This window comes from Homo sapiens, chromosome 2 (assembly GCF_000001405.40).
Source record: "Homo sapiens chromosome 2, GRCh38.p14 Primary Assembly".
Taxonomy (NCBI): domain Eukaryota; kingdom Metazoa; phylum Chordata; class Mammalia; order Primates; family Hominidae; genus Homo; species Homo sapiens.
In genome coordinates, this window is record NC_000002.12 from 149,054,466 (window position 1) to 149,081,700 (window position 27,235).

The 27,235-nt window shown below is 40.8% G+C and overlaps 1 protein-coding gene and 1 pseudogene across 17 annotated transcripts in view, besides 1 other annotated feature; one reads left to right on the forward strand and one right to left on the reverse strand.

Moving 5' to 3' along the window:
• LYPD6B (LY6/PLAUR domain containing 6B) overlaps positions 1-27,235 on the forward strand; it is a 176,564-nt gene that overhangs the window by 15,767 nt on the left and 133,562 nt on the right. For 7 of the 17 annotated variants that reach the window (XM_047443404.1, XM_047443411.1, XM_011510623.3 and 4 more), the window contains exon 2: positions 23,055-23,131. The exons of 7 other annotated variants lie outside the window; for them this stretch is intronic. The gene's annotated coding sequence lies outside the window, so the exon portion shown is untranslated. Of the gene's footprint in view, positions 1-23,054; positions 23,154-27,235 lie in introns of those variants that run through there. 3 more of the 17 variants (XM_047443412.1, XM_017003366.2, NM_001317004.1) reach the window with 2 other exon arrangements.
• TXNP5 (thioredoxin pseudogene 5) lies at positions 13,970-14,462 on the reverse strand (annotated as a pseudogene).
• Positions 26,400-26,992: an enhancer, noted in NCBI's record as "OCT4-NANOG hESC enhancer chr2:149937379-149937971 (GRCh37/hg19 assembly coordinates)". NCBI's record gives its function as "activates a minimal SCP1, AML or CMV promoter by ChIP-STARR-seq in naive H9 embryonic stem cells {active_cell/tissue: H9 hESC(naive)}" and the evidence as "EXISTENCE:reporter gene assay evidence [ECO:0000049][PMID:30033119]".

Genomic DNA, 27,235 nt, shown 5'->3' on the forward strand with positions numbered 1-27,235 from the left:
TCTTGTTTTTACGTATTCTGGATAGTAGACCCTTATTGGATATAAGATTTGCAAATATTTTATTGCATTCTGTAAGCTGTCTTTTCATTCTCTTAGTAGTATCTTTTGAAACATGAAACACGAAAGGTTTTAATTTTGACCAGTGCAGTGGCTCACACCTGTAACCTGAGTAAGCCGAGGTGGCAGGATCACTTGAGATTAGAAATTCAAGACCAGCTTGGGCAATGCAGCAGATTCTGTCTCTACAAAAAAGAAAAAATAAAATTAGCTGGGCATCGTGGCGTGCACCTGCAGTTCCAGCTACCCAGGTGGCTGAGGCTGGAGAATCTCTTGAGCCCAGAAGTTTGAGACTGCAGTGAGCCATGATTGCACTATGGCACTCCAGCCTGAGTGACAGAGTGATACCCTATTTAAAAAAAAAAAAAAGTTTTTAGTTTCGATGAAGTCCTATTTATCTATTTTTTTTCTTTTTTTCGCTTGTGCTTTTGGCATCACATGTAAGAAACCATTGCTTAATCCAAGGTCACATAGGTTTCTTCTAAGAATTTTATAATTTCAGCTCTTCCATGTAGATATTTGATCTATTTTTAGTCAATTCTGTATAGAGTATGAGTTAGGAGTCCACATTTATTCTGTTGCATGTGGCTTCCCAGTTGTCCCAGCACTGTTTGTTGCCAAGAGTGTTCTTTCTGCCATTGAATTGTTTTGGCAACCTTGTCAAAAGTCAACTGACCATAAATACATGGCTTTATTTCTAGATTCTCAATTCTATTCCATTGATTTGTGCATCTGTCCTTGTTGGCAGTACCACAAAATATTGATTATTGTTGCTTTGTGAGAGTTTTGAAATTGAGAAGTATAAGTCTTCCAGCTTTTTTCTTCTTGTTCGGTGTTATTTTGGCTATTCTGGGTCCCTTCCATTTCCATGGATGAGCTTGTTAATTTCTACCAAAAAGGCCAGCTGGAATTGTGCTAGAGGTTGCACTGATTTTGTAAATCAATGTGAAGAGTATTGCCATCTTAACAATGTAAGTCTTCCAGTCATGAAAACCGGATGCTTTTCCGGTTATTTAGGTCTTCTTTCATTCCTTTCAATGATGTTTTATAATTTTCTGCTTACAAGTTATGCACTTCTCTCGTTAAATTGATTCCTGCTTTATCTTTTCTGATGCAGTGTAATGACATTGTCAGTTTCATTTTGGGGTTGTTCATTGGTAGTGCATAGGAATACAGTTAATTCTTGTGTTTCGATCTTGTATCCTGAAATCTTGCTGAACTTGTCAATTAACTCTAACAGTTTGCTGGTGAATTTATTAGGGTTTTCTACATACAAGATCATGTCATCTCCAAATGGAGGTAGTATTACTTCTTTCTTCCAATCTGAATGCCTTTTATTTCTTTTCCTTGCCTAATTGCCTTTGCTAGAAAAGACAGCACATAGTGCTGAGAGCAACATCCTTGTCTTGTTCTGTCTGACATTCCTGATCAGTGAGATGGCAAGTGTGATTTATGCTGTTTTTCTATGATCACTTTTATACTCTTAAGAATCTGAGTGATAGAGCAGGAGGTACGGGCTGATTTCTCCTAGGGAATATTTCCTTTGTCCTGTGCATAGGGAGGCTTGGCATAATGGCTACTAGAAAAGAAATATTTTAATTGAAGAACATATTCATGTAACACATAGGTGCCAAGGAGTTTGACTAACATTATCCAATATGTAAGTATTCAATATTTTGAATAAAATTTAAGTACTAGCCTTCTATCCTGCCTTTCCACAATTTGGGGTGCCCACTGTATGCTTCAGGTACTGTGCTGGGATCCCAAAGATGAATGAAACACAGGCCATGTCCCCAGGGTGCTCATGGAGGGGAGACACACAGGGATTAGGAAGTTTCATATTCTGGCAAGTGGTTTCCATTAAAGAGTAACCACTGTCAGAAGGAAACAGGTGACCAATGTGGGCTTCACCATCAGGATTTTGGGGTCTCAATGTGCTGTTGGAAGATTCACTTTCTACCTTGTAGAATCAAAGAATTGTAGAACTGGAGCCTTGGAAATCTTTTTTTCCAGTAAGTCCACATTTTCCAAGAGGAGGAACTGCTTACCTTATTTAACAATTCTTGTTCTCTCTCATCAGTAACTCTTATTTCTCTGAAATGTTTTATCTTACACACATGCATGCACATACATGCATGCACACACATACATACAACATCCTCTGTAGGGAGGCAATCTGTGTACAGCCCACTCTTGGCTCCATTTGTTGTGTCTGGTTTGGGTAATCTAACACCAGCCATGCGTTCATCTTCAATATGACTCGTCTAGGATTCCTGCTTCTCCTCACCTGCGAAGACTACTCAGCATTGTCCATAGATGCTTATGACCAGGAACTGACAAGGAGGGTACGTTATCCGACTCCACATCTGAGTTACCCAAAAGCTTTGGGGGTCCTTCCTGTTCTTATTAGTTGTATGTTCAACTTTCTTTGTAAAGAGCATACCCCATCTATTTAAAATTTGTCAATTCAGAGGATTAACTAGGATGCCTGCAAAGTCAAGCCTGTGTGCTTACTGCAAAGTCATCTTTCCAGAAAAGAGTGAAAGTAAAGCAATTACATAGGTCATACCTTAAAATGATTTATGTAGTTTTTTGATAAGTCAATTCAGACTCGTATGACTCATGTATTTTCATTTTTACTTTTCTATTTAAAAAGAAACTCTTTATTCTAGTTTTATTATATATTATTTATTATTAGGATGAAAATAACATCAGGTTACTTTTTATTATTCTATTGGCAAAATGGAATGCAAAACTTATGGTCTCAGGCTACAAAAGAAAATGAATTGTCTCCACAAACCTTTCAAGTTTAATTAACTTTTAAATAAATACAAAGTTCTAGTCTCCCACCCTGACCCTGCCCTGCACTTTTTTTTTTTAATTACAGTGCCTTTTTTCTTTTGATTATATGAAAGGGTGAGATAAGGATGTAAAAATGCTTTCGGGTTCACATTGTTTACTGCATATGATACAGCAGCCAATTCAATCAGAAGGGAAATAGGAAAATAACTACTCTATTTTTGCCTTGTAAGCGGTTTGTAAAGTCCCCTCCAGTCCCTACGATTAAATGTTGGCTTCTCTCTTGCAGCTCTCTAAAAGGAAATTAAAAGTGGAGCAAACAGCATTTCAAAACCAAACACAAATACTGTGTAGGGGCGAACCCAGCAAATGGAAGAATTACAGCATTGCAGGCAGTCCTTTAATTCAGTGCTGTAAGAAATGCAACAGAAGAGGAAAGGGGGTGGAAAGGGGATCCTGAGAAAGTTGCAGGTCATCGCAAGCCTCTGATTATTTGACCGTTTCAGGGGTGAGCTGGGGTGGGGATTGGTGGTCATAGCAGAGCTTTCCCTGTGATGTGTGATGAATGCATCCGTAAGACGTATTGTTACTCAGTTACTGTTTACCATAGCCTAAGCCCTAGAGTGGCCTGGAACTTGCTAATGGGGACCGAGGCAGGGAAAGTATGGAGGTCCATTCCTAGGAAATGGGTGGCATTCAACATGTAGAAGAAAGGGCATTTCGACTGGCAGCCAGGAACCTGAGTTCTGTTCTTGGTCCTTCTGCCTTCTGACTGTGTGACCTTGGATGAGTTACCTTGGATGAGTTGCCTTGGCCCTCTGAACCATAGTTTTCATATCTGCAAAATGCAGGTTTGGACTAAATGCGTGATTTTCCAACCAAATTCCCAAGCCTCCATCAAGCCATCTCAGAGGTTGTCCTTGCACCAACAACTGGGGTTCCTGGCCCCTACACTCCAATGGGAGCAGTCTCAGTTTCCTCTCCTATATTTATGCTTTTGTAAGCTTTTGTTTGAACAAAGTGAAAACTACTAGGTGCCCTGATCTCAAAGATCTCTTCTGATTCTTACATTCAGTTGTCTATAACTCTGCATTTTGGTACAAGCTTAATGTAAAAGAGACCAAGAAGCATCCATTATTCTGGGGCTCCCCATCTTTCTCAGGTAACACAAGCAAGGAATGTGTGTTTTCAGCAACAGAAACACTGCTCATTAGTGATTATGAGGCTGTCATTGGGACAGGAATTTGTGTTTATGGAGTCTCAGCCTCTGACTCTAGAAACAGTCCATTTCACTCTTTTATTTTATTTTATTTTTGAGATGGAGTTTTGCTCTTGTCCCGCAGGCTAGAATGCAGTGATGTCATCTCAGCTCACTACAACCTCCACCTCCCAGGTTCCAGCGATTCTCCTGCCTCAGCCTCCCTAGTAGCTGGGATGGCAGGCGTCTGCCACGACGCCCAGCTAATTTTTGTATTTTTAGTAGACATGGGGTTTCAGCATGTTGGCCAGGCTGGTCTTGAACTCCTAACCTCAGGTGATCCACTTGCCCTAGCCTCCCAAAGTGCTGGGATTACAGGCATGAGCCACAGCGCCCAGCCAGTCCATTTCACTCTTCTTGGATATAGTTCCCTTTATGCTTCGTGATTGAGATCTGTCTCTTGTAAGAGGCCTGGAGATGTGAGATTTTGAGGGCAGCCACGGTCTCCATCTTGTGCCCTGTTCAGCTCTCTGTAGGTATTGCCAGGCCACGGAGCCCTGTCTCTTTGAGGGAAGCCTGAGGGCATGGCAGTAATAACCACCTGTCAGCTGCACAGGATTCTGAGTGAGGGTTGGGCCTCCCCATGAGTCACTTGCTAGCTCCTGTTAAGTAAGTCTTTTCGACCCCATATCAAGTCCCTACCTCTCTGTTCCCTGTCATGGGAATCTTTTCCTTTCACTCCTTAATAATGTACATTCCTGTGCCACACACTTTCCTCCATTTCCTTTGGAAGCACAGTACAGGGACTTTTGCGTTGCCAGGAATGAATGTTTAGGAAGTAGGCCTTCAATTCCTTCCATGGTTCCAAGCCAATATAGTGCCTTTTGTCACTTGTCCCAAGACATTCTGTTGAACACATCAGCCTTGGCAGAGGAAACCGTTACGAAAGAAGGATTCCAACTGAAGAATATATAGCTGGAGACCCAGGGGTGTTGAGCAGTTTAATTAACGTTATTAGAAATGAAGACTTGGTTATTTTAAAATGAAATTTCAAATCTCCTGTCTCCGTATCCATTTCTTCATTACGGCGTTGTTCCGTTCACCTGCCTTTTAATGTAGCCAGTTTTTACTGCATTCTCACTATGGGAGCAGGCACCCTGCTGACCCTGGGCTGAAAGATGAACAGGTCTTAGGCCATGCTCTCAAGGGGCTTTCATCCTACTCAGACAAGAGCTGAGCAGACAGCCACAGCCTGGAGTCCTTAGTGCTCTGTAGAGAACTTTCTGGAGCCTGGGAGAACACTCAGAATAAAGCAGCCTGTGCACTTGCCTGGGGACAGGAAATGGTTCCTTCAGAAGTTTTCCCTGGGCCTGTGTCCCAGAAGGTGACCTAAAGGTGGTTCAGGCAGGAGTGGCTGGTGCAAAGGTGTGAGGGAGTTGGTGGATTTGGTAAACTGTAGGCTCAGCATGGTCGGAGCAGGCCTTGAGGGAGGGGTAGGGAGGGAGAAGGAGGAGGAGGAGGGGGCAGGAGTCAGGACAGGATAATCAGGCACTGAGCTATGCAGGGCCTTGACTACTGCACTAGTTACTAGTGCTGGTCAGGTCAGATGTTATCCAGAGGGCATGGGAACCCACAGCAAATGGTTAGGCAAGGTGGGCTAGGCACTTTGCAAGGCCATTTAGCACAGAAGTTACAAGCAACAGCTCCAGGTCCAGGTGACTGGGGTTCGAATCCTGCCTTGACCACTTTCCAACTGTGGGCAAGTTACTTAACTGTCTCTGCTGCTGTATCTTTAAAATAGGGATAAAAATCCTATCTGTCTTGTAGGGTTGTTATGAGCAATAACTAAGTAAATTCACCTAAACCTCTCATAACTACAGCACATACAAAAATCTAGTTATCCCTTTTCTGGGAAGGGGACATATCATATTTTCTATGAGCAATCTCCTACACTGTGTATTAGTTAACTGGTGTAATAATACCATGTAAAAATACTGTAAAACACAGTGGCTTAAAACAACAATTATTTATTATTACTCCTGCATTTGTGAGTTTCCTGGGGTTTGGCTGAGACCTGGCTGGACATGCAGTTTGGGACCCAAGCTGAGGGCAGTGGCATCCCAGGGCAGCTTCCCAAGGCAGTGGTACAGCTGTCAGGGGTAAGAGGAAACTTGCAATCCTCTTAAGGTCTAGGCTCCCACCCAGCAAAGCCCAGAATTATATTGCTCTCCTATAGTAGGAGGAGCTACAGAGTCACTTCCAAAAGGGTAGGAGCACAGGGAGAGGTGAAGGATCAGGGTCAACATTATGGGGCACAGGCTGCATTTAATGTCTCCTGATCTGCATCTTTGTAGCTTCCCAGAGGGAGCTTCCATGAGGGGCACTCGACACCCACCTTGGGCATGCTTGGTACCCCAAGGGTCTGGTTTCAATTAGTGACCTTCCTACAGTCATTTAGAACTTAACCTTTGGGCCTAGCAAATGTGTTCTTTCTCTTGCTTTCAGAGCCTTTGAGAGAGAAGGGAAAATATGCTAGTGTGGATTTGGATCTAGACTCTGTGGAATGAGGTGAGGATGGTGGTATCTCCAGTAATACTTAATGGAAAGCTTGGAGATGAGCAGAGGTGTTTCAGCAGGCATGCTCTGTAGCCTTTCTCAGACTTAGCAGGCTGCAGTGCATTTTTTTTTTTTTTTTGAGACAGGGTCTTGCTCTGTCCCACAGGATGGAGTGCAGTGGAGCCATCATAGCTCATTGCAGCCTTGACCTCCTGGGCTCCAGCGATCCTTGCAGTGCATTCTTGAACATGGTTTGTCATGAATGTAAATTGCTATAAGACTTAATGTTTAGATTTAGTAATAAAATATGTGTCTGTTTATATGTGTTTTTAGGTGACTCTATTCCAATATAATTGAAGGAATTGCATTTTTGGTGGATTCCTTGGGGTTTTCTTTCTTCTCCCTGGTAGCCCCCTGTGAGGCAAGCCTGACTCTCAAGTTGTCACCCTAGACAAATGCTGGGAGAAAGGACAGGGGGAGGCAGCCCAGTTAGTATTTATTGGTGTGCAACTCTACCTCTCAGTTCTCCTGGATTCCCCGGGGCTTTGGAGGATGGGGGCAGTGATGGAAGGAGTCAAATACCATTCTTTTGCCAGCATGTAAAATAATCTCCCTCCTTTTCCCTGGATTCCTTATGCTGTATGACAAACATATCCATTCTTCCCAGACAGAAAAGAGAGAAATGGGGACAGGCAAGACATTCTTATAGGGTATACTTTTCTATTTTACATTTGAGAATATAAGTACATTATAAAAGTAAGCATCAAATTTCTTATAATGATAGTTATTTATTAGGTTAAAAAGTTAAACATTATCTCTAAAATTACACCTAATAATTAAGTGTAAGATTAAATTGAGCATTTTTTCAGGGATAGGAAGGAGAAACATCGTAGAATCTTTTTTTTTTTTTTGAGATGGAGTTTCATTCTTGCTGCCCAGGCTGGAGTAAAAATGGCGCAATCCCAGCTCTGCGCCATCTCAGCTCACCACAAACTCCGCCTTCCCGGGTTCAAGCAATTCTCCTGCCTCAGCCTCCCGAGTAGCTGGGATTACAGGCATGTGCCACTACGCCAGGCTAATTTTGTATTTTTAGTAGAGACGGGGTTTCTCCATGTTGGTCAGGCTGGTATCGAACTCCCAACCTCAGGTGATCCACCTGCCTCGGCCTCCCAAAGTGCTGGGATTACAGGCGTGAGCCACCGCGCCCGGCAGAATCTTTTGGATAACAAAAACAGCACTGAAAATAACATGTAAAATATGTAGCAGTGTGATTGGCATCTAGAAGATGCTCAGTAAATTGTAGCATTGATGATGATCACGATGATGGCAGTGCTTTCTCTAGCCCATTTATCAGAGAAGGGGATTAAAAGCAGAGATTACAAAGTTGAGGACTTCATCAACTCTGTTGCTCCAGAGGAACCTCTCTCAGGCATTCCTTCCCTACATGGAAAAGCAACAGGAAAATGAACCCAGAAAAGCTTACGTTATAAAATCAAGCCAAATGTATACCTGAGAAGTGATGATTTTTTTTTTCTTAAAGTAGTTGCTTCTAAAAGGCATAATTCAAAATAACCACGACAAGAATAGACATGCAGAAATCTTAAAGGTGCAATGTTATTTTGTTGAGTAAAAAATAGGGCCAGATAATGACAAATCGTTGCTATGCAAATGAAAAGAAAGATCATCATGTCCTGTGCTTCAGGGTGTGAATTGATGGCAAAAATCTGTCTGTATTAGTCAGTAGGGGAGATGAATTCAGATGAAAGCTTTCAGTGATACATGTTCTTTTTTTTTTTTTTTTTTTTTTGGTTAAGTATCATTTGTGGCTGAAGTCCTGAAATAGTTGTCTAATGGCAGATTTTCCTGAGTGTCCCCTGTAAGCAAGGCTCGGTAAAGAAGGAGCTGCAAGGTTCACCAAGTCCCTCCTTCCCTTTCTCCCTCTCTCTCTCTCTTCCTTCCTTCCCTATTAAGCACAGCCTTTGCATTTCAGGAACTTATATCTTAATGGGAATGGCAAGATGCAGACATTAGAAACCTAACAAGTGCAAATTTATATGGTACATTTCGTGTATGTCAGGTTTGTAATATATCTGGAGGAAAAATCAGTAGAGTGAAAACGATGGTGCCAAATCTTGACCAAATTAAACAATGAGTTTTACTTCTTTACTTTTATTTTTTTCGGGCCAAGGGGTGTTATTTTCAGTTGTTTCAGGGACAGAATAACATTGCCACCCAAGAAGTAGCCCCGCCCCATAACACTATTGAATTCAAGCAGTAGTTGATGACTCAGCTACCATATACTTATATACCCTACAATTACATCGTCAAAGTCTTCCCCTAAATAGGAAGGACTGATTTTAACAGGAATTCTTAGCTGATTGATGCTCCACTGAGGTGGAAATGGCTTGATGATGATTTGATTTGTTGATAATGTCTGACTGAGATTTCTTAAAAAGCTGCCATGTATATTTGGGTTTTTACTTTGAGTTGTTTATGTCTTATATTTTAAAAGTGAATTAGGATAATTTGCCAACTACATGTAGCTAAAGTTTTCAAAATAAAGTAGTGAGAAAGGATTATTTAACACAGGGGTTGAACATAATAAAGTATCAATTTAGAACCCACTAAACATGCCATATCCCAGAAATAAATTCCAAAGGGTTGAATATTGCAAATCAAATTATAGAAAAAGTAGCCGGAAACATAATATGTATTAGGTTTGCACAGGAACAACAATTTCTGTGGCTTTAAAGCAAAAGAAGCAACTAGCAAGGAAAAAAACAAACAAGTTTGAATATTTTAATTTAAAACTTCTATATAAAAGACTGGGACAATTCACAGTAAATTTGTGACACATAAATGATTAACAATATGTTATAACTGGAATATATTGCTAACTCAAATGCAGAAGAAAAGGGCAAGGGCCATAGCAGATAGATGCGGAATTTAATAGCTACCATTTATTGAATATTTTTCCATGCCCATATAGACTTACAAAATCTGATTATACTGATTGTTTTTTATACAAAATGTTTTGTAACCAGCTTTTCTGATATAGCAGCACAGACTTTGACACTAACTAGTCTTCTAAAACATAGTTTTAGAAGTACAGCCCTATTTTGCTTATGTTTCCAATGCTGGATATTAAGGTTATGGAAAACTAACTTAGGGTGAATTTTCTAGTATCTTTTCTACTTATGAAGTCATGATTAGAGTTATGGTTATGGACACTCCCTTGAATGAATCAATGATTTACAAAGAAGCACATTCAATACCGCTTTTATCAACAGTTTTATAGGTAGCATTTGCCACTAAAACCTGTTTTAACAAAAGAGAAAATATCATTTGAGATCCCATACTTTTGACAACATGTCACCAGTTATCTTTAAAGGCCTCAGTAAAAGAGACATGTTAATTACAATTCCTGTGAGCATCTTGAGGATAGCAATGACTATAGTATTATATTAGGACACTTTGTCAAGCATGTCATTCCCTTATCTTGCTTTTATAGCAGAGGAAATAAAGGCACTAGAGACATATCTTTGAGGTCACACAACAAGTTAACAGTAGATAAACATTAGAACCGGCAGCTCCAGAATTCCCACTGCATGTAATTAGCTCACTGCAGGCAGGAAATGACAGCACTGGGAATAAATGGCAGATGTGGCGTTTGGGGACCTGGAGGCTGGTGGGAATTCTCTGTGCTCATCTGAATGGTTAATTAAGTTAGTTCCTCTCAGGGGCTGTCACTGCCTGGAACGTGGAGGCCTCTCAGCCAGGTACCTTCTTCCTTAGGGTGTAAGGAAACATGATGGTCACCTTCTGGTGCTTTGGTTGGCTGGCCTGGTACAGGAGTTTGAGTGGGGCCTCAGTAATTTCTTAGGCACTGCAGTCTATTACTGAGGTTTTATGGAGTTTCTGAGTATGATTTTTGGCATTGATTCCCAGAGGACTGCGATGTGTCTGAGGAGTGCATGGTTGGGAGTAAAAGGGCAGGGACTGCCTGAACTGTTTTGAAGTTCACCCTCCCTCCCTCTTGGGCAGCTCATGAAGTGTATGTCTGCCTTCTTTTGTCTCCTTACGAGTGATAGATACTGAATTCATGGACTACCTCCTATTCTTAGACATCCAACAAAATCATTGTAGGAAACAATGTGTGTTTGAAAACTACTGTCAAAAGACTTGCTAAGTGTATGGAGAATTCTAGGGAGGGCAGAGGCAGTCTGCCAAGTTGATCCAAAGGCTGGTCCCATCAGATGCTGTAACAAGCTCGTTAGTCCTGGAATCATGATTATCTTAATTTCATTGGCCCCCTAGTAAGGACATGACTAAGCATTTAATCACCAAGGGTTGATCAGAGAGAAATGAATCTGTGCTCCTGCTTTAGAACTCTGAAAGAAGGTGGAATCTTCAGTTCACTTTCTCTTCTGCCCAATCTAGAGTAAGCGTGGCATGCTTCCTGGGAGAGAACCCGAGCTAGACTCCAGTTACTTCCTGCTGCATCAAACCTGGTTACTCAAAGTGAGCCTGGTTGATTGGCAGCATCAGTACTACTTGAGAGCTTGTTAAAATGCAGATTATCAGGTTCTATCACCTGTGGGGGTCTTTTGTGTTGTGTGTTCCAATACAACTTATTTATTTATTTATTTTTGAGGCAAGGTCTTGCTCTGATGCCCAGGTTGAAGTGCAGTAGCACTATCTCTGCTCACTGCAATCTCCACCTCCCAGGCTCAAGCAGTCCTCTTGCCTCAGCCTCCCAAGTAGCTGGGACTACAGGGGCATGCCACTGTGTCTGGCCCTTTTTTTTTGTATTTTTCATAGAGACTAGTTTTCGCCTTGTTACTCAGGCTGGTTTGTAACTCCTGAACTCAAGAGATCTGCCCACCTTGGCTTCCCAAAGTGTCGGGATTACGAGTCTGAGCTACCGCACTCGGCCCTAATAAAATTTTATTTACAAAAATAGGCTGCTAGTTCATGGGCTGTAGTTCAGTGGCCCATGGCACAGATTGGGCAGTACCAGTTTTGGCTACCCATTTGTGTCTTGTGTCTAGAGACACTATGTTCTATTAACCATTATTTGTTTCCTTTTTTTTTTCAAATTTATTATTTTTTTAATTCTACTTTAAGTTTTAGGGTACATGTGCACAACGTACAGGTTTGTTACATATGTATACATGTGCCATGTTGGTGTGCTGCATCCATTAACTTGTCATTTACATTAGATATATCTCCTAATGCTATCCCTCCCCCGTCCCCCCACCCCACAACAGGCCCCGGTGTGTGATGTTCCCCTTCCTGTGTCCATGTGTTGTCACTGTTCAATTCCAACCTATGAGTGAGAACATGCAGTGTTTGGTTTTTTGTCCTTGGGATAGTTTGCTGAGAATGATGGTTTCCAGCTTCATCCATGTCCCTACAAAGGACATGAACTCATCATTTTTTATGGCTGCATGGTATTCCATGGTGTATATGTGCCACATTTTCTTAATCCAGTCTATCATTGTTGGACATTTAGGTTGGTTCCAATGTTATGCCATATACATAACAGTTGCTCAAAAACATTTATTAACTTCAAATTTAATAAATATTTTTGAGCAACTGTTGTGTATATGGCATAACATACTCCATGCTACCTTTGATTCCTTCTTCACCCTCCAACATTCTCCCTTCTCTTCTCTTCTCTGCACTACTTCCTCTCTTTTCTCATTTGCTCTCATCCTCTATTTATTATTCCTTGGTTTCTTTTATTTTAGATTTAGGGGGTATATGTGCAAGTTTGTTACATGGGTATACTGTATGATGCTGAGGTTTGGGGTACAATTGATCTTGTCACCCAGATAGTGAGGATAGTACCCAATAGTTAGCTTTTCAACCTTTGCACCCCTTCCTTCCACTCCCCTTTAGTAGTCCTGTGTCTATTGTAGCTATCTTTACTTCCATGAGTACCCAATGTTTAGGTCTCACTTCTAAGAGAGAATATGTGGTATTTGGTTTCCTGTTCCATGTTAATTTGCTTAGGACAATGGCTTCTAGCCACATCCATGTTCCTGCAGAGGACATGATTTCCTTATTTTTTATGGCTGCCTACTATTCCTATCACCTGTATTTCAACACACTCTGCAGGTGGTTCTTATGCCTGCTTCAGTTTGAGAAGCGCTGCTACATAATATGTAAATGGTTTATCTGGGAAAGGTGGCATGATCAGTTGTGAATGCTTTTTCCTGATCATATTTTATATTTATTCATTATGATCCTTAATAAATATTTTAATCTTTGAATGTTTTAATAATTTAAACATCTTTTAAAAAGTTGTTTTCCATTATAAATTAATTTTCCATTATAAATTAATACATGCTATGAGAGCTTCAGAAAACACAGAAAAGTGAAAAGTAAAAAGCAATTTACCCCTCTAGTATATTTATTGATAAGATTTGAAAAGTATGTATATTTTTTCCTATCTTTTCTGTGTATAATTTTTTAAAACTTTGTTTTTTTTTTCTGATTGTAGGCATTATATATTATCCTCATAGGGCTATAAAGTGATACTATATAGTCTTTGCTTTTTTCCTTTGGTTTAAGGGAATGCTCTTAGATAATCTTTGTCTTAAAAGAAAATTTTTTCTCTAATTTTTATTTAAATTTTATATAATTTAGGAAGATTCCTGGTATAATCATTAATGTCTCAAATAGTTATTTTACAGTCCAAATGGAGAATTTATTATCTTCTTAGTGCAACAGAAAAATTTAATTTACTACTCACTGGTAGCATGTATTCTGTATTATATGTGAATCTTCTTTGACCAAAACTTTCTAGAGGGTAGAAAAGCTTTTGCTTTGGAAGAATGCGTGACCACCCTCCTCTCAAACTGGCCTGATAGGAGGGGAGAGGGAGGGAATGATCTCAACAGAAAGTCCTGTTTTTCTAAGGTGAGTGGGGAACACCTCACCACTGTGAAGATGGAGGTTTTTGTTTTTCGGGCTTCTTTATTGAGACTGGAAAAGTCTTTGCCCAAATCTCTGCTTTTTTAGGCAGTTTGAGAAGAAATCAGCATGTAATTTTTAACCTTTGTAGAATAACTGGCTTCTGTGTTTGAGGTAGGGCAGGAGAAGTCTGGCCATGATTTTTCCTGTAGCCACTTTACCATGCTTTGTTTTGGAATACATCATTGCCCTCAATAATGCAGAATGTATTATGTTAAATGAAAAACTTGGTGCATTTCTTATGTCCACGAGTTAGACTCTTTCTCCAAGTCTAGTTGTTCCAAGAGTAATTGATACAACTTACCATTGAGAGGAACACAGTTCAGAAACTAAAGTAGCAAACAAGTATTTCTGAATTTTCAAGCTTCATTTGCATCTTTCAGAGAACATTAGTAACACTTTCTTTTTGAGTTAATATTTTATTGTCACGCAGATGGCAGTTGGGTATATAGTCTCCATACTTTATACTTTTTATAAATAAAAAATTACAAATTTTAAATAGCCAATGGTTGGTTATGTTTTCAGAAAACATGATTAGACTAATTCATTAGTGGTGGCTTCAAGATTTTCCTTATTATTATAGCTCCAGAAAATTCACCTACCTTTTGTCCCTTCTTAAAAAACTAGGTTGGCATGCATTTGACTTCACACTCTGAAGCAACATCCTGACAGTCATCCACATCTACTTCAAGGGATATCATGTTAGAATACTTTTCAGAGAGGGAATGAAACAAAGGCTCGATCATTTTGCAAGGCCCACATCATGTGCCTGAGAAGTCAACTACTCCAGGTTTATCGCCTGCAGCCTCCAAGGCTTCCTGAAAAGCAAACTTCTGCTCAATTTGCTTCACCATTTTGGCTGATGGGGTCTTCTAAGAAACATTTCTAAAAATTATCTCGTCCGTCTCTTGTTCCACACTGTTCCAGATCACTTCTTAAAACTCATTTTTACTTCCCTGTCCATACCTTTCTGAAGTTTCAACTGCTTTCCCCCAACCCCCACCCCGAAGTTCTTTATTATGTAGACTTTTTTTTTTTTTTCAGTTTTGGTATAACTTGCAATCAAGGAGAGCCAGAAAAGTGACTCAGCCACAGGAATTTGTCCATTTTGTGGGTGGGCTGGTGGGGGTGGCCTTGGGAGAACTTGATGGAGGCAGAATTATGACTAGTCATTAATAATCATAACTTTTTTTTACATTTTTAGTTTTTCTTATCATTACACAAAATATCCATGTAACATAATAACTAGTTTTTGTTACACAGGACATGCCTTGTAGTTGTGCTTTTTGCCTTGGCGACATAGACTGTGTATACCTAAGAACAGCAGAGTGACTGCGGTGGAATTGTTTATGAATGTTTCGTAATGGAAAACTGTTTCTGTGATAAATGAAACTGGGTTGGTTAGGATTGAATAGAATTGGAAGATAGCAGATCTTAAGGTACCACCCCAAACCCTGCTGTGTCACAGATTTTGGCTGATAGCATCTTATTTATGTTGAGAAGCTGGTTGGGCAGGAAGGATGTGTGGTCTGGATACTGCATGAGCCAGCTTGGCATTTAAATTTGCCAAAGACTTTGAAGCATTGCCACATTAAAAAAAAGTCCCTGTGGTAAATTTCAACATTCCTGTCTCCTATAACTCTGCATGTTATTATTTTTAGCCAGCATGACATCTTTCCACAGCATCACCGAGTGCCCAGTTGTCCATAGTGCTGAGCAGTGTCCACTACTCAGTGTGAGGCCTGGTTCCAGTCCTGCAGAAGCTTACACTCAAAGCCATGAACAGTTTTCTTTTTATTAATAGAAGCTTAAGAGCTTTCCCCAGACAAATATGTTGGCTAGCTGTACAACTTTTTTTTTTTTTTTAATTGCAGAGATGGGTGGTGTGTGTGTGTGTACGTGTGTGTGTATGTGAATCATTTTCTTGAAATACATAAATTCTTAGAAAAATAATGGCTGGAGAGTTGTGAGTAAATGAAAATTTGGTAAACAGGTGGCTTTTCTGTGATGAATAAAAATGCATATGTTTTGGAAGCAAGGCACTATAGGTTCTTGCTCCCTGCTTCTCTTGGGGCGTATTCCTTCCATGTCTCCCAGTGAGCACCAGGCTTCACCACACTGGCCTCCTTAATGTTCCCTAACACGCCAGCCATGCTCTGCCACAGGACGTTGGCATTTCAATTTTCTCCCCCTGCAAGACTCTTCCCCGCTAACCTAGAAGGCTGGCTTTCTCACTTTCTTCAAATAGTGGCTTCTCCCTGAGGATGTTTTTGGTTACCCATCTACAAGTTTATTCCTTCTGCTGGGGCTTTGGGATTTCATATTCTGCTTCTTAATTTTTCTTCTCTTTAGCGCTTATTAATATCTAACACACTATAAAATTTTAACCTCTTTATTTTATTGATCTCCTTCCCCCCTCATATAACCTTCCTAAGACTATGGTAATTGTATTTTCGATGGTATTCCCAGTGCCTGGAAGAGTGCCTGGATCATCATAAGTGCTCAATAAATAATGGCTGAATGGAAGGAGGGAAGGAAGAAAGGTTGTGAATGACTCTTGTTGGCTTCTAGTCATCATAACTGACCTTCTCCATAATTAGACAACCCATTGTAAGCTAGCAATCAGCTTATTCACTGTATAGAACAGCCTGTGATTTTTGAGGTCAATTTTGAGGTGTTCTGGCAGGCTTCTTGGTTGGTAATCATAGGAAGTAAACTCTCATTAGTATCTGGTGTATAGAGGCATGTTCTGTGAAACCAGTAAACACCTCTCTCTCTACATGATTCTACTATTTCATACATTTCCAAGAAGTCAACAGGTAGTAACAGATGCAGCCTGATTGATTTCTGGAAGGGAAATGACAGAGCATATTCGCCGTGGGATAGGTAAATGGAATCCTTGGCACTGAGATTCCATTATCTTTTGTCTACCGATAAAAGGTGTATGATTTACTTATCATTTAGTTCCACACCCGGCATTAGTAGGACTGATAGGTGAGGGGCTAGGAGGAGAGGGACTCCTGCGTGGCTTTGTAAATAGCGATAAAGCAGTGGGAATGTAAAACGCGGCTTGGCAGGGTCTGCCTGGGATTTTGCTGAGTCCATAGCAATACTTAATTAACTGTGCAAACATTCTATTCAAGATAAGACTATAACAGTTGCCTTGGGGAAAATTCTTTTAGTCAATATTTGTTTGATCTTTTGTATAGTATTTTGGCTTTGCTGTTCATGCTATAGCAAAGCTCCTGTTACAAATGCCGTTTTCAGGGATTTGCTGTATTTGCATACCAGGTCAGTCCTGGGAGAGGTAAAGGATGGGAATCACTGTTTAAATAGAGGTTCCAAGGGCTTTCAAACAAATCTTTGAAAGTTGAAATACTTTGTATCAATCGGTTGTCAAATAATTATTAAAAACCTGGATTAAGTACTCTGGGAAATCTCAAAATCTAGGATAAGATCTTTGCCTTCAGTTTGCTTATACTCTAGCTATAGAAATAGGACTCGAATCAGTAGATATAATAGAAGATGCATACACTAAATAATAACAATGGCTGTGATTTCCTAGACACTTAACAAGGACTGAGCACTGTCCTAGTACTTTTCTAAGCATGAATTAACTCATTTAAATCCCCTAGTAGTCCAACGAGGCAGGCGCTTTTGGTTAGTGTGAAGTTTTGTACAGAATAAACAATGTCATTTGGAGAAAGAGAAGACCAGGGAATCAAAGAGCCACGAAGGAAAACTTCAAGGACAAGGTCTCTCAGTCCAGATTTTAAAGATTGGGAGGCAAATGGCTTGCAATGGGAAGAAGAAAAAGGGCATAATGGCATTGGTTGTTTTGCTGGTAACATTCCTTTTCTCTCTTGAAAGTTGTTTTACCCCCCTTTTTTTTTGAGACAGAGTCTTGCTTTGTCACCCAAGCTGGACTACAGTGGCGCAATCTCATTTCACTACAACCTCTGCCTCCCAGGTTCACATGAGTCTCCTGCCTCAGCCTCCTGAGTAGTTGGGATTACAGGCACACACCACTACACCTGGCTAATTTTTGTATTTTTGGTAGAGACAGAGTTTTGCCATGTTGGCCGGGCTGGTCTTGAACTCCTGATCTCAAGTGATCTGCCCTCCTCAGTCTCCCTATGTTTTACCATTTCTTGACTTTCAGCACATGTGCCTCTGGTGAAGAGGATAATAAACAAACACATAAGTAAACATACAGGATGTCAATGTAATAAATGCTATGAAGGATAACACAGGAATGGGAGAATGCTAGGGTGGTTATTTTATTTTAGTTTAGTTTCTTGACTTTCAGCACATGTGCCTCTGGTGAAGAGGATAATAAACAAACACGTAAGTAAACATACAGGATGTCAATGTAATAAATGCTATGAAGGATAACACAGGAAAGGGAGAATGCTAGGGTGGTTATTTTTATTTTATTTTATTTTATTTTATTTTATTTTATTTTATTTTATTTTATTTCATTTTATTTTATTTTTTTGAGACACAGTTTCACTCTGTTGCCCAGGCTGGAGTGCAGTGGCATGATTTCAGCTCACTGCAGCCTCTGCCTCCAAGGTTTAAGCGATTCTTGTGCCTCAGCCTCCCCGGTAGCTGGGATTACAGGTGAGTGCCACCATGCCTGGCTAATTTTTGTGTTTTTAGTAGAGATGGGGTTTCACCATGTTGGCCAGGCTGGTCTCGAACTCCTGACCTCAAGTGATCTGCCCAGCTTGGTCTCCCAAAGGGCTAGGATTACAGGTTTGAGGCACCATGCCTGGCCTGGATTTGCAATTTTAAATAGGGTGGTCAGGAAAGCCTGAGACATTTGAGTGAAGATGGAAGGAGGAGAGAGAAAATGCTTTGAAGGTACTTATGGGGAGAGATTTCTAGGCAGAGGGAACAGCAAGTGCAAAGGCCCTGGGATGGGAACTTAACCTCATTTATTAAAGGAACACCAAGGAGGCCAGAATGGCTGGAGAATAGTGAGCAGGGGGAATGGTAAGAGGTGATGTCTTCATGGGTAATGCATGCCCAGTCACTGCTGGGTTTAATGATGATGATAATGGTGAGGTAGGCAGAGCTGTTTAGAGTTTTTTGAGTAGAATGGCAGGCTGGCAGCTGTCACTGCTTTCTGCAACCCTGTGCAGTTGTAGCTTCTCTTGCTTTTCACTAGCAGGCCCAGCCCAGTATATCTCTTGGTCTCTGACCCATTGCTGATGTGGGCAGAGGCACCCTGACAGCTTCACACCCATTAGCTGGCAGGTAGAAAACCAGCTGAAGCCCTGAGTGAGAGAAGGCATGTGCCCTGAATGACACCCTTGTTTCCACCCTCATGGTGTTTTCTTGGTCCGTGTTTCTGAGTTTCTTCTTTGATTTCCTGCTGTTACTGATATGCCAGCTGGGTCCTGGGATCTGCCTTGTTCTTGCTGTCTTCCTGTCCAAGCCCACTGCCGTGATGCTGGGAAGCAATGTTGGTTCTGGTCTGTGTCCTGCAGCTGTTTGGGGCTCTGTGCTGAGTAGAGCATTAGGAAGATCCGTTGTGCTGCTGAGGCCCCCTTTTCTTCCACTCGGTGCTTTTGCTTATCCTCCTACCACTGCTGTGTCTCCTTGGATGACAGACTTGGGGACCCAAGTGGGCATGGGTGCCTGCACTTCTATAGGTACCTGCTGGACCATCGCCAAAACTCTGCAGGCAGGGTGATGCACTCAGATTCTCTCCAGCCTGGATTTGCCTGTCTCTGATCCTTTCCCTTTAGCCCATGTTGCTGATCCTCTGAGTTACAAGCAGAAGCTCAATGAGAGAGGGAGAGGACAGCAACCTCGGGTGAGGGCGTGGAGACCCAGACCAGGGTGACGGCTGTACGAAAGGAGAAGGAGGACAGAAGTGATGGGTCTGGGGAAGGAAGCCTCAACAGACCGTGCTCCATTGGCTTATGGAGACTCAATAGAAAATCAGAGCCCATACAAGCATCTAAGGATCAATATTAATCCAGAAGTTGCAAATGCAACGAGTGCTTTCAGAGGATCTTATAGCCAAGACATGGCCAAGTTACGTAAAGAAGGTGTCTGCTGTGGAGCCCTGTGAATGTCCAGCTGGGGTGGGTCAATGTGGGTTCAGGTCAGAGGCTCAAGTGAATGTTTACTCAAAGGGTCGACCACAGGGCCACTTTTGTGATGGCACACGTGCACACACATGCATACACGCATGCATGCACACACACACACACACACACGCACATGTGCTCTCTCACTTATTCTCTCCTTTTGTTTTTGATTTTAGTTGCAGTTACTTCTAGATAGATCTAAAACATCAACTTTAATGCCATTAATAGGAATAATTATAGCACATATCAGCCTGATTCTCCAACCTACAGAGCAGAGGTTGAGTTAGTGATAGGATGATAGGTGATAGGAAGTTCTCTGAGGTTTTCTCCCTGCTTCCAGCAACACGAACCTGACTTCTAAGGGCACGCACAAAGGCTTTTGGCAATCAACTGTGAATCAAGGTGTGCTGATGGGCCCTTCCAGCCTCAGAGAAGAGTAATTGGGGTGAAAAAATGTTATTATAATAAAACTATAATATTGCTGTGATTCTAGAAGGTAGCTAAATGAAGGGAGGTTCCCTCTTTGAAGAAAAATGTGAACTAAGTGGTTTCTCTGGGCCTACCACTTACTTTCCTGGGAAAAGGATTAATTTGAGTTAACATTTATTGAGCTTCCAGAATATCCTATGAAATGCTTTAAAAGTTTAAAATACAATTTTTTTTCTGAATCGGTAATTGACTCATATGCTTCAACATTTAAAGGCAACAAAAGAATGTACAGTGAGAATCCCCCACCCCATTTTTCCTCCTCCAGGCAGCTAGTTTTTTTCTGCAAGGCAACCCATATTAGCAGTGTCATATATATTTTGTTAATATACAATATAGTGTGCTCAGTCAGTGTTAATAATCTTAAAGAAAACAAAATGCCTTTTCTCTTTTTAAGGACTTCGTATTTCATAAAACATGGTGAGCCAATCAGTCATATGGAGCTGTATTTTAGAAACTTTTATTATAAATCCAGTGAGTATATAATTCCTAGATGCTCCATTAACTTTATGCTTTTGATTTTTAAATTCAGAAATCTTCCTTCTCCTCTATTTCCCTCCCATTTTATAAACTGTTCTCAAATCTTTGGCACTCACTGTTGCTTCCTTATGGGGCAGTGCCAGCGCTGATTGGATAAGTAGTAAACAAATATTATAGTAATAGAAAAATGTAGACACAGACAATCAAGTGTAGATTGACTGTTTCTATTTAGATGGGTCTATATGTTTATGGCTGTGGTTTGACGTGGTGTTTTGCAGTGTGTATATTTTACTGAACACATTTCTGGCCAATTTAGACTTAATGTGTATGTTTGCATTAAATCTGTTCATGTGATGAAGTTAAATAGTTCATAAGATACTGAGACAAACAGCAACCAACAAATCATGCTTTTAAACTCTTTAAAAGTTGTCAAACTTCTCTTGGAGAAAAGAAAAAAGAAAACTCATTTATTTTTTGTAAGTGAAGGAATAGAGGGCAGAAGTTAGAAGAACCTATAACTAATGTGCATAGTTTGACTATGACCTGGGTTTGACTCCAGGTTTGTGGAAAATCTTAACAAAAAGAAAAGTATAAAGTTGGTCATATGACAATCCTAGTTTTGTTTTTCTGTGGTAGATGCCTAATAAATGCTTCTGATCACTAAATGTCATATATTCTGAAAAGTAGGTAAGATAAACAGATATGTAATCCATATAATTTTAAAAACAATGTTAGCAGAATACTTTTCTGCTTGTGTTCGGCAGTGTTGGTGGATGAGTAAAAACATGCCGAGACAAAAGCAAAGACAAAAAGCCTCAGAAACTATGGCCAGTGCTACGGCTGATGAGGCAGGAGGCTGACGGAGTTTGAGGCCAATCTAGGAGAGAGGGAGGATCCAGAGGAGCGGGAGAATGGGTTTTGAGTTTAGGAACGTGAACTGTCAGGATTTAACACTGGAGTAATCCAGAGGCGCGGGAGAATGGGTTTTGAATATCGGAAAGTGAAACGTCAGGATTTAACACTGGAGTAACTTAATAGCTACCAGAGTAGCACTAGAGTAACTTACTAGCTTTCCTGCAGCCTGGGGAGGTGAGGGCTTTCTCTCCTGGCATGCCTTATATAGCAGCCTGGACAGACTAGATTAACTTTGCAAATATGATCCCTTTGTATTTGGAAACCTTATTTTTATACATTTTGATTTTCTTCTTAAAGAGAATGCAGCATATAATAAGAAGTGATAACTATAGTTTAAAATAATTTACCCAGGACTCTGAGAGAACAGCTCTTGGAAGTGTTAGTTTTCAGCCTAACTCTAGAAATCTATTTCCAAGGGAATGGTTGACACACAGAAAAAGATTTGTCATAAGATGTTCTGTAATTCATAATAAAGAAAAACTGAAAGTGAGTTATTTGTCTAACAAGAAGGGAATGGATAAGGAAATGGTAGTACTATGTCCATTTTATCAGTAAAATAATATTTAGGGTATGTTTTCAGTTAGGTATGAGGCACAGTAAAATTCTGTGAAAAAAAGACAAGAAGAGAATGTTAATGCTGGTTGTGTATATGTGATGAAATTTTAAAAAAACTGTTCTGGATCTAATATATGGGCTATAATGTGGATATATTACCTTAAAAGGTAGAGGGAAAAAATCATCACTAAAAAAGACCAAGAGTTGAAAGTGGATGGAAAACTTGGTTGCCTTCATTCAGTGGAGGTTGTTATGAATGTTTTAAACCTCAGCTGTTCAGGCATTTTTGTAAATTCCTTGGCTGTGTAGTGCCAAGGTTAAGATGTGCTGGGGTTAGAGTTGGTTCTGTGGGGAGGAGGAGGAAACTCTTAGTAGGGAGAAGTGAAAACATTCCTAACCCAGTAGGTGCAGGGTTTGTAGCCCCGCAGCCCCACATGCACTCCTGGTATTTGTAATTTGCAGTGATGACAAACTGTGCCTCTGGCCATAGCCGAACTGCTGTCTGTTAGAATGCATGGCCATGGACGACTTGGTGACCAGTGGCCTGTAAAATGCCACAGAACGCCCTGGCAGCTAATTTTTAATTCCCAGGAAGTTGCTTGCAACTTTGCAAAGATAAGGCAAAAGATCAGACTGGGGACATGCCCAGAGCACAGGCAGCCCCCAGTCAGGTCTTTGTAGAAAGCTCTGGAGAGCAGTGAAACTTACTCGCTTTCCTGCAGCCTGGGGAAGTGAGTGCTTTGTTTTCTGGCATACCTTAAATAACTGCCTGGACATGATTGATTAACTCTGCAAATATGATCCCTTTGCATTTGAAAACCTTATTTTTATACATTTTGATTTTTGTTTTTCTTAAAGACAATGTGGCATGTAATAAGTGATAACTATAACTATGGTTTAATTTCTTTTTGTAATTTCCACAGGACTCTGCTGGAGCAGGACTTCAGAGTGTTTGTTTTCAGCCTGCTTTTAAAGTGATTTGAAGAGAGTGGCTTTGAAGGTTTCCATCCTTACTTTTTCATGTATAGTATCTTGTTCTTTAAAATTAGTGAGCTGGGCACATCCACATAAACACATACAGTTATAATTGCCCCAATTTTAAGCTCACTTTTGCCACAGTGAAAACTCAACACCATTAGCACAGTGAGCCAGCTCTGATTCTCTGAAGTGCTGGGCATCTTTTTAATGGACAAATTGCAAATTTACTAATGTAAAAACTGAAGTTAATCACACTGGCATCTATTCTTCCAATTTGTCATTTGGCTGAAAGTGATCTGATGTCATTCAGAAAGAAAGTGAGTTGGAATGGCATCAAGTCCTGATGGTGTAGCTTTGGGCTGAAGCTGAGTTTTCCTCCATGAAGCAACTGCTGCTGTTTCCTGGAGGGCAGACTTTGTTAACGTGTCTGTGTCTGAATTGCTCAGAATCTTAGGATTCACTTGAGGAATGTGACAGTCAACACTGTTAATTCACCTGGTAGGCTGAGGATGTCAGGTCACAGTGCCACACTGTCAGGCCAGGGGTCACAGTGCCACATTGTCAGCCCAGGGGAGGGTTCCTGAATGACTGAGGGAATCCCATTTGTAGCAGCAGAAGAAACGCCGCCATCACCTTGCACCCTTGCCTCCCTTGAGAAGGCACCATGACCTCTGCACAGAGGCCTGAACATTTCCTGCTATAATGGGGTCTTTATTTGTGTTTGCTTTTGCTTCCCTTCCCATTCATGAAATGTTCTGTACATATAACATCTGAGTATTTTGGAGAGCATAATCTCTTCCTGTAAACCAGTGGCTTAAAACCTGGGGTTGCCAGCCAGTATAATGAATACAGTCTCTGAAGTTACCTGGTCCTTTGGGGGTTAAATCAGTGACCTTGGTTTTCTCAAGCTATAACTTTGTCTCCTTCCATGGTTGCCACATAACACAAGGGGAAACACTCTTCCAATACAGTGTACCTAAGAGGAACTCATTTCAAAGATAGCTATGGAGGTCTGTCTCGTTTTAAAATTTGAAAGAACAAATAGAAATTTCTAAGATTATTGTCACTGAATTTTCACTTTTATGAGACTGACTTTCTCCCTACTGTGCTTATGAGGCACCTAATTTCTACCTTAAAAGACCAACCTATACAGCCAGCATGGTGGCTCATGCCTGTAGTCCCAGCAGCTTCAGAAGCTGAGATGGGAGGATTGCTCAAGCCCTGGAGTTCGAGAGCAGCCTGAGCAACATAGCAAGACCCCCATCTCTAAAACATTTATAAAAATTAGCAGGGTGTGGTAGCTTGTGTCTGTAGTCCCATCTACTCGGGAGGCTGAGGCAGAGGATCACTTGAGCCCAGGGGTTTGAGGATGCAGTGAGCTATGATCATGCCACTGCACTCCAGCCTGGGGCAACAGAGTGAGATCCTGTCTTTTTTTTTTTTTTAAATGCTTATTTAAAATGCCATTACTTACTTAGTAAAATGCCATTTCTATTCAAATTAAAAAAAAAAAAAAGACCAGCAAATATTACCATGGTGTGAATTACCTCTGAAGTCTAGTTTGTGAGCTCAACTCTAAGCTCTGTGAGGGCGGGGCTGGTGTCTGTTTTGTTCTCCAAGGGTCTAACTTTGGACTGGTATCCAGCTTATGGCAGGTACTTAGTTAATGTCTCTCAAATGAGAGCATTTCTGTTTCATAAAATGTAACTCTAGCTGTACTGTTCTGGCTAATACTAAATCGAATCTAGATGTTACTATGTTTAATGTAATTTGGACTTCTGCCATACCTGATCCATAATAACCAGAGATCAATTCATAAAATCCTAACATAAAATCTAACATTGATCACTTTTAGAGGTTCCTTTTTATTTTCTGTGGCTGCATTTGAAATGGACACTGTCGTGCAAGGTTTTTGCTGGACTGCTGTTTTTGGAAGACAGTGTAGATTAATTCTATATTAAAGTTCAGAAGTGATTCCGAACTACCAGCCACCCTTGAAGTCTCATTACTTATTAAAATGCCATTTCTATTCGTATTCTCTTTTTTTTCTTGCCTCATTTTCAGTAACTACATTCTTTTTAGCAGATTCAGGCGTTTGAAGAATAATTCATTCTCGCAGTGGGAATTACAAGTCTATGGGGGAAGGTGTGCTGGTGTTGGCTTAGATTTCTAGGGTTAGAAGGCATCTTCCGGGATGTGCTTTAGCCCCCAGAGTTCCCTTTAGACAGGAGCATCTTAAACCAACCCACCCAGAGGGGTTAGCAGACCTCCGGAAAAGGGGATTTTGTCATTTCTTTCATTCTCGCAACCTTTTGTAACAAAATTTATCTCATTCCTGAATTCTAAACTGGGTGGCTTTGTGATCTAAGGCAATCTGCTTTATTTATCTGCACTTCTTTCCCGATTTCTGAGATAAGGATAGCACCGCTTTGTTTACCAACATTGCCAAAGGGGACTATGTAAGTATATTTTTGTTAAGAGTTGCCATAACAGAGTAACAAACTGGTGGCTTAAGCAACAGAAATTTATCATCTCACTGTTCTGGATGCTAGACTGAAATCAAGGTGATGGCAAGGCTGGGCTCGCTTGAAGGCACTAAGGAAGGAACTGTTCCAGGCCTCTCTCCTGGCTTCTGGTACTTCCTATGCTTGTGGCCGCATAACTTTATAACTTGTGGTGTTCTCCCTGTGTGTGTGTCTGTGTCTGAATTTACCCTTCTGTGAGGCCACCAGTCGTGTTGGATCAGTGCCCATCCTACTCCAGTATGACCTCATTTAACTAATTACATCTGCAATGGACCTGTTTCCAAATTCTGATGAGGTACTGAGGGTTACAACTATAACATGTACATTTTGTGGGGGGAGCACAATTTAATCTATAACAGTAGGCAAGAAGGTCACATAGAATTGGGAGGTCTGATGTAGCAGGCTGTTCTATTTCTCTCAAGTTCTCTATTCTTTCTCACTTTTAAGAATCCAGTATATTAGCTGGGGGTGGTGGCTCACGCCTGTAATCCCAGCACTTTGGGAGGCCAAGGTGGGCGGATCACCTGAGGTCAGGAGTTTGAGACCAGCCTGGACAACATGGTGAAACCCCGACTCTACTAAAAGTACAAAAATCAGCCAGGTGTGGTGGCGTGCACCTGTAGTACCAGCTACTAGGGAGACTGAGACAGGAGAATGGCTTGAACCTGGGAGGTGGAGGTTGCAGTGAGCCAAGATCGTGCCACTGCACTCCAGCCTGGGTAACAGAGCAAGACTCTATCTCAAAAAAAAAAAAAAAAAAAAAAAAAACCACACAAAAAAATTCAGTATATTAGGCAATGCCAACCTAGGACACAGATTTGTTGTCTGACTGGGATCCTGTTTATAAAGAGTAGATGGGAGTTAACTTATATGAAGTCAGTTTAAGTCATGATGTCCTTGCATAGGACGTTTGTAACCTCTAGGTCCTTTCCTGAATTTAGTTGCTACTGTGGAAAGGTGACTGGATCTGGGCCTGGTGCTGTAAACAGATGCAGACAGTTGGCTCTGTCAGAGGACTGCTGGGCCTTGTTTGTTTACTGACTTCTTGAGATCTCAGATAGAAGACATAATAGAAGATCAAAGGCCTTTGTAATTACTTCCCCTAGTAATTGTTGCTAATGCCTGCAGGGTTATTTGTAAGGCTGTGGCAGGGGCTGTGTCTAATTTCACTTTACATACAGACTAGATGTTGGTTCCCAATTGCCTTGAGCTCTTCACTTTCTTTAAGTTGATGATTTTAGGTAATACCACCATTTCTGAGGTTGTTTCAGAAACAGAAGTCAGAGTTCTCTTGGTGTAGGGATATTAAATTGTTTTCATATTTTGAATTAAACTTTTATTGAAGTATAGATCTGGAAATTTAATCTAGATATTACTGATATTTAATGTAAAGCTCGTTGGCTGAGCCTGCTTGGGTACAGCCAAAATTCAGGCCTCCCTTACAACCCCATTGCCTGTAGGAAACAAGGAACTCAGTGTGTGGAACAGCTTTCTGTGTATAGATAGAGGCATACAGTTTAATGAGTTCTCACACAGAACGTATCTGGATCAAGAAACAGAACCTGACCAGCAAGCCTCTCTGTCATGCCCTTCCTGATCCC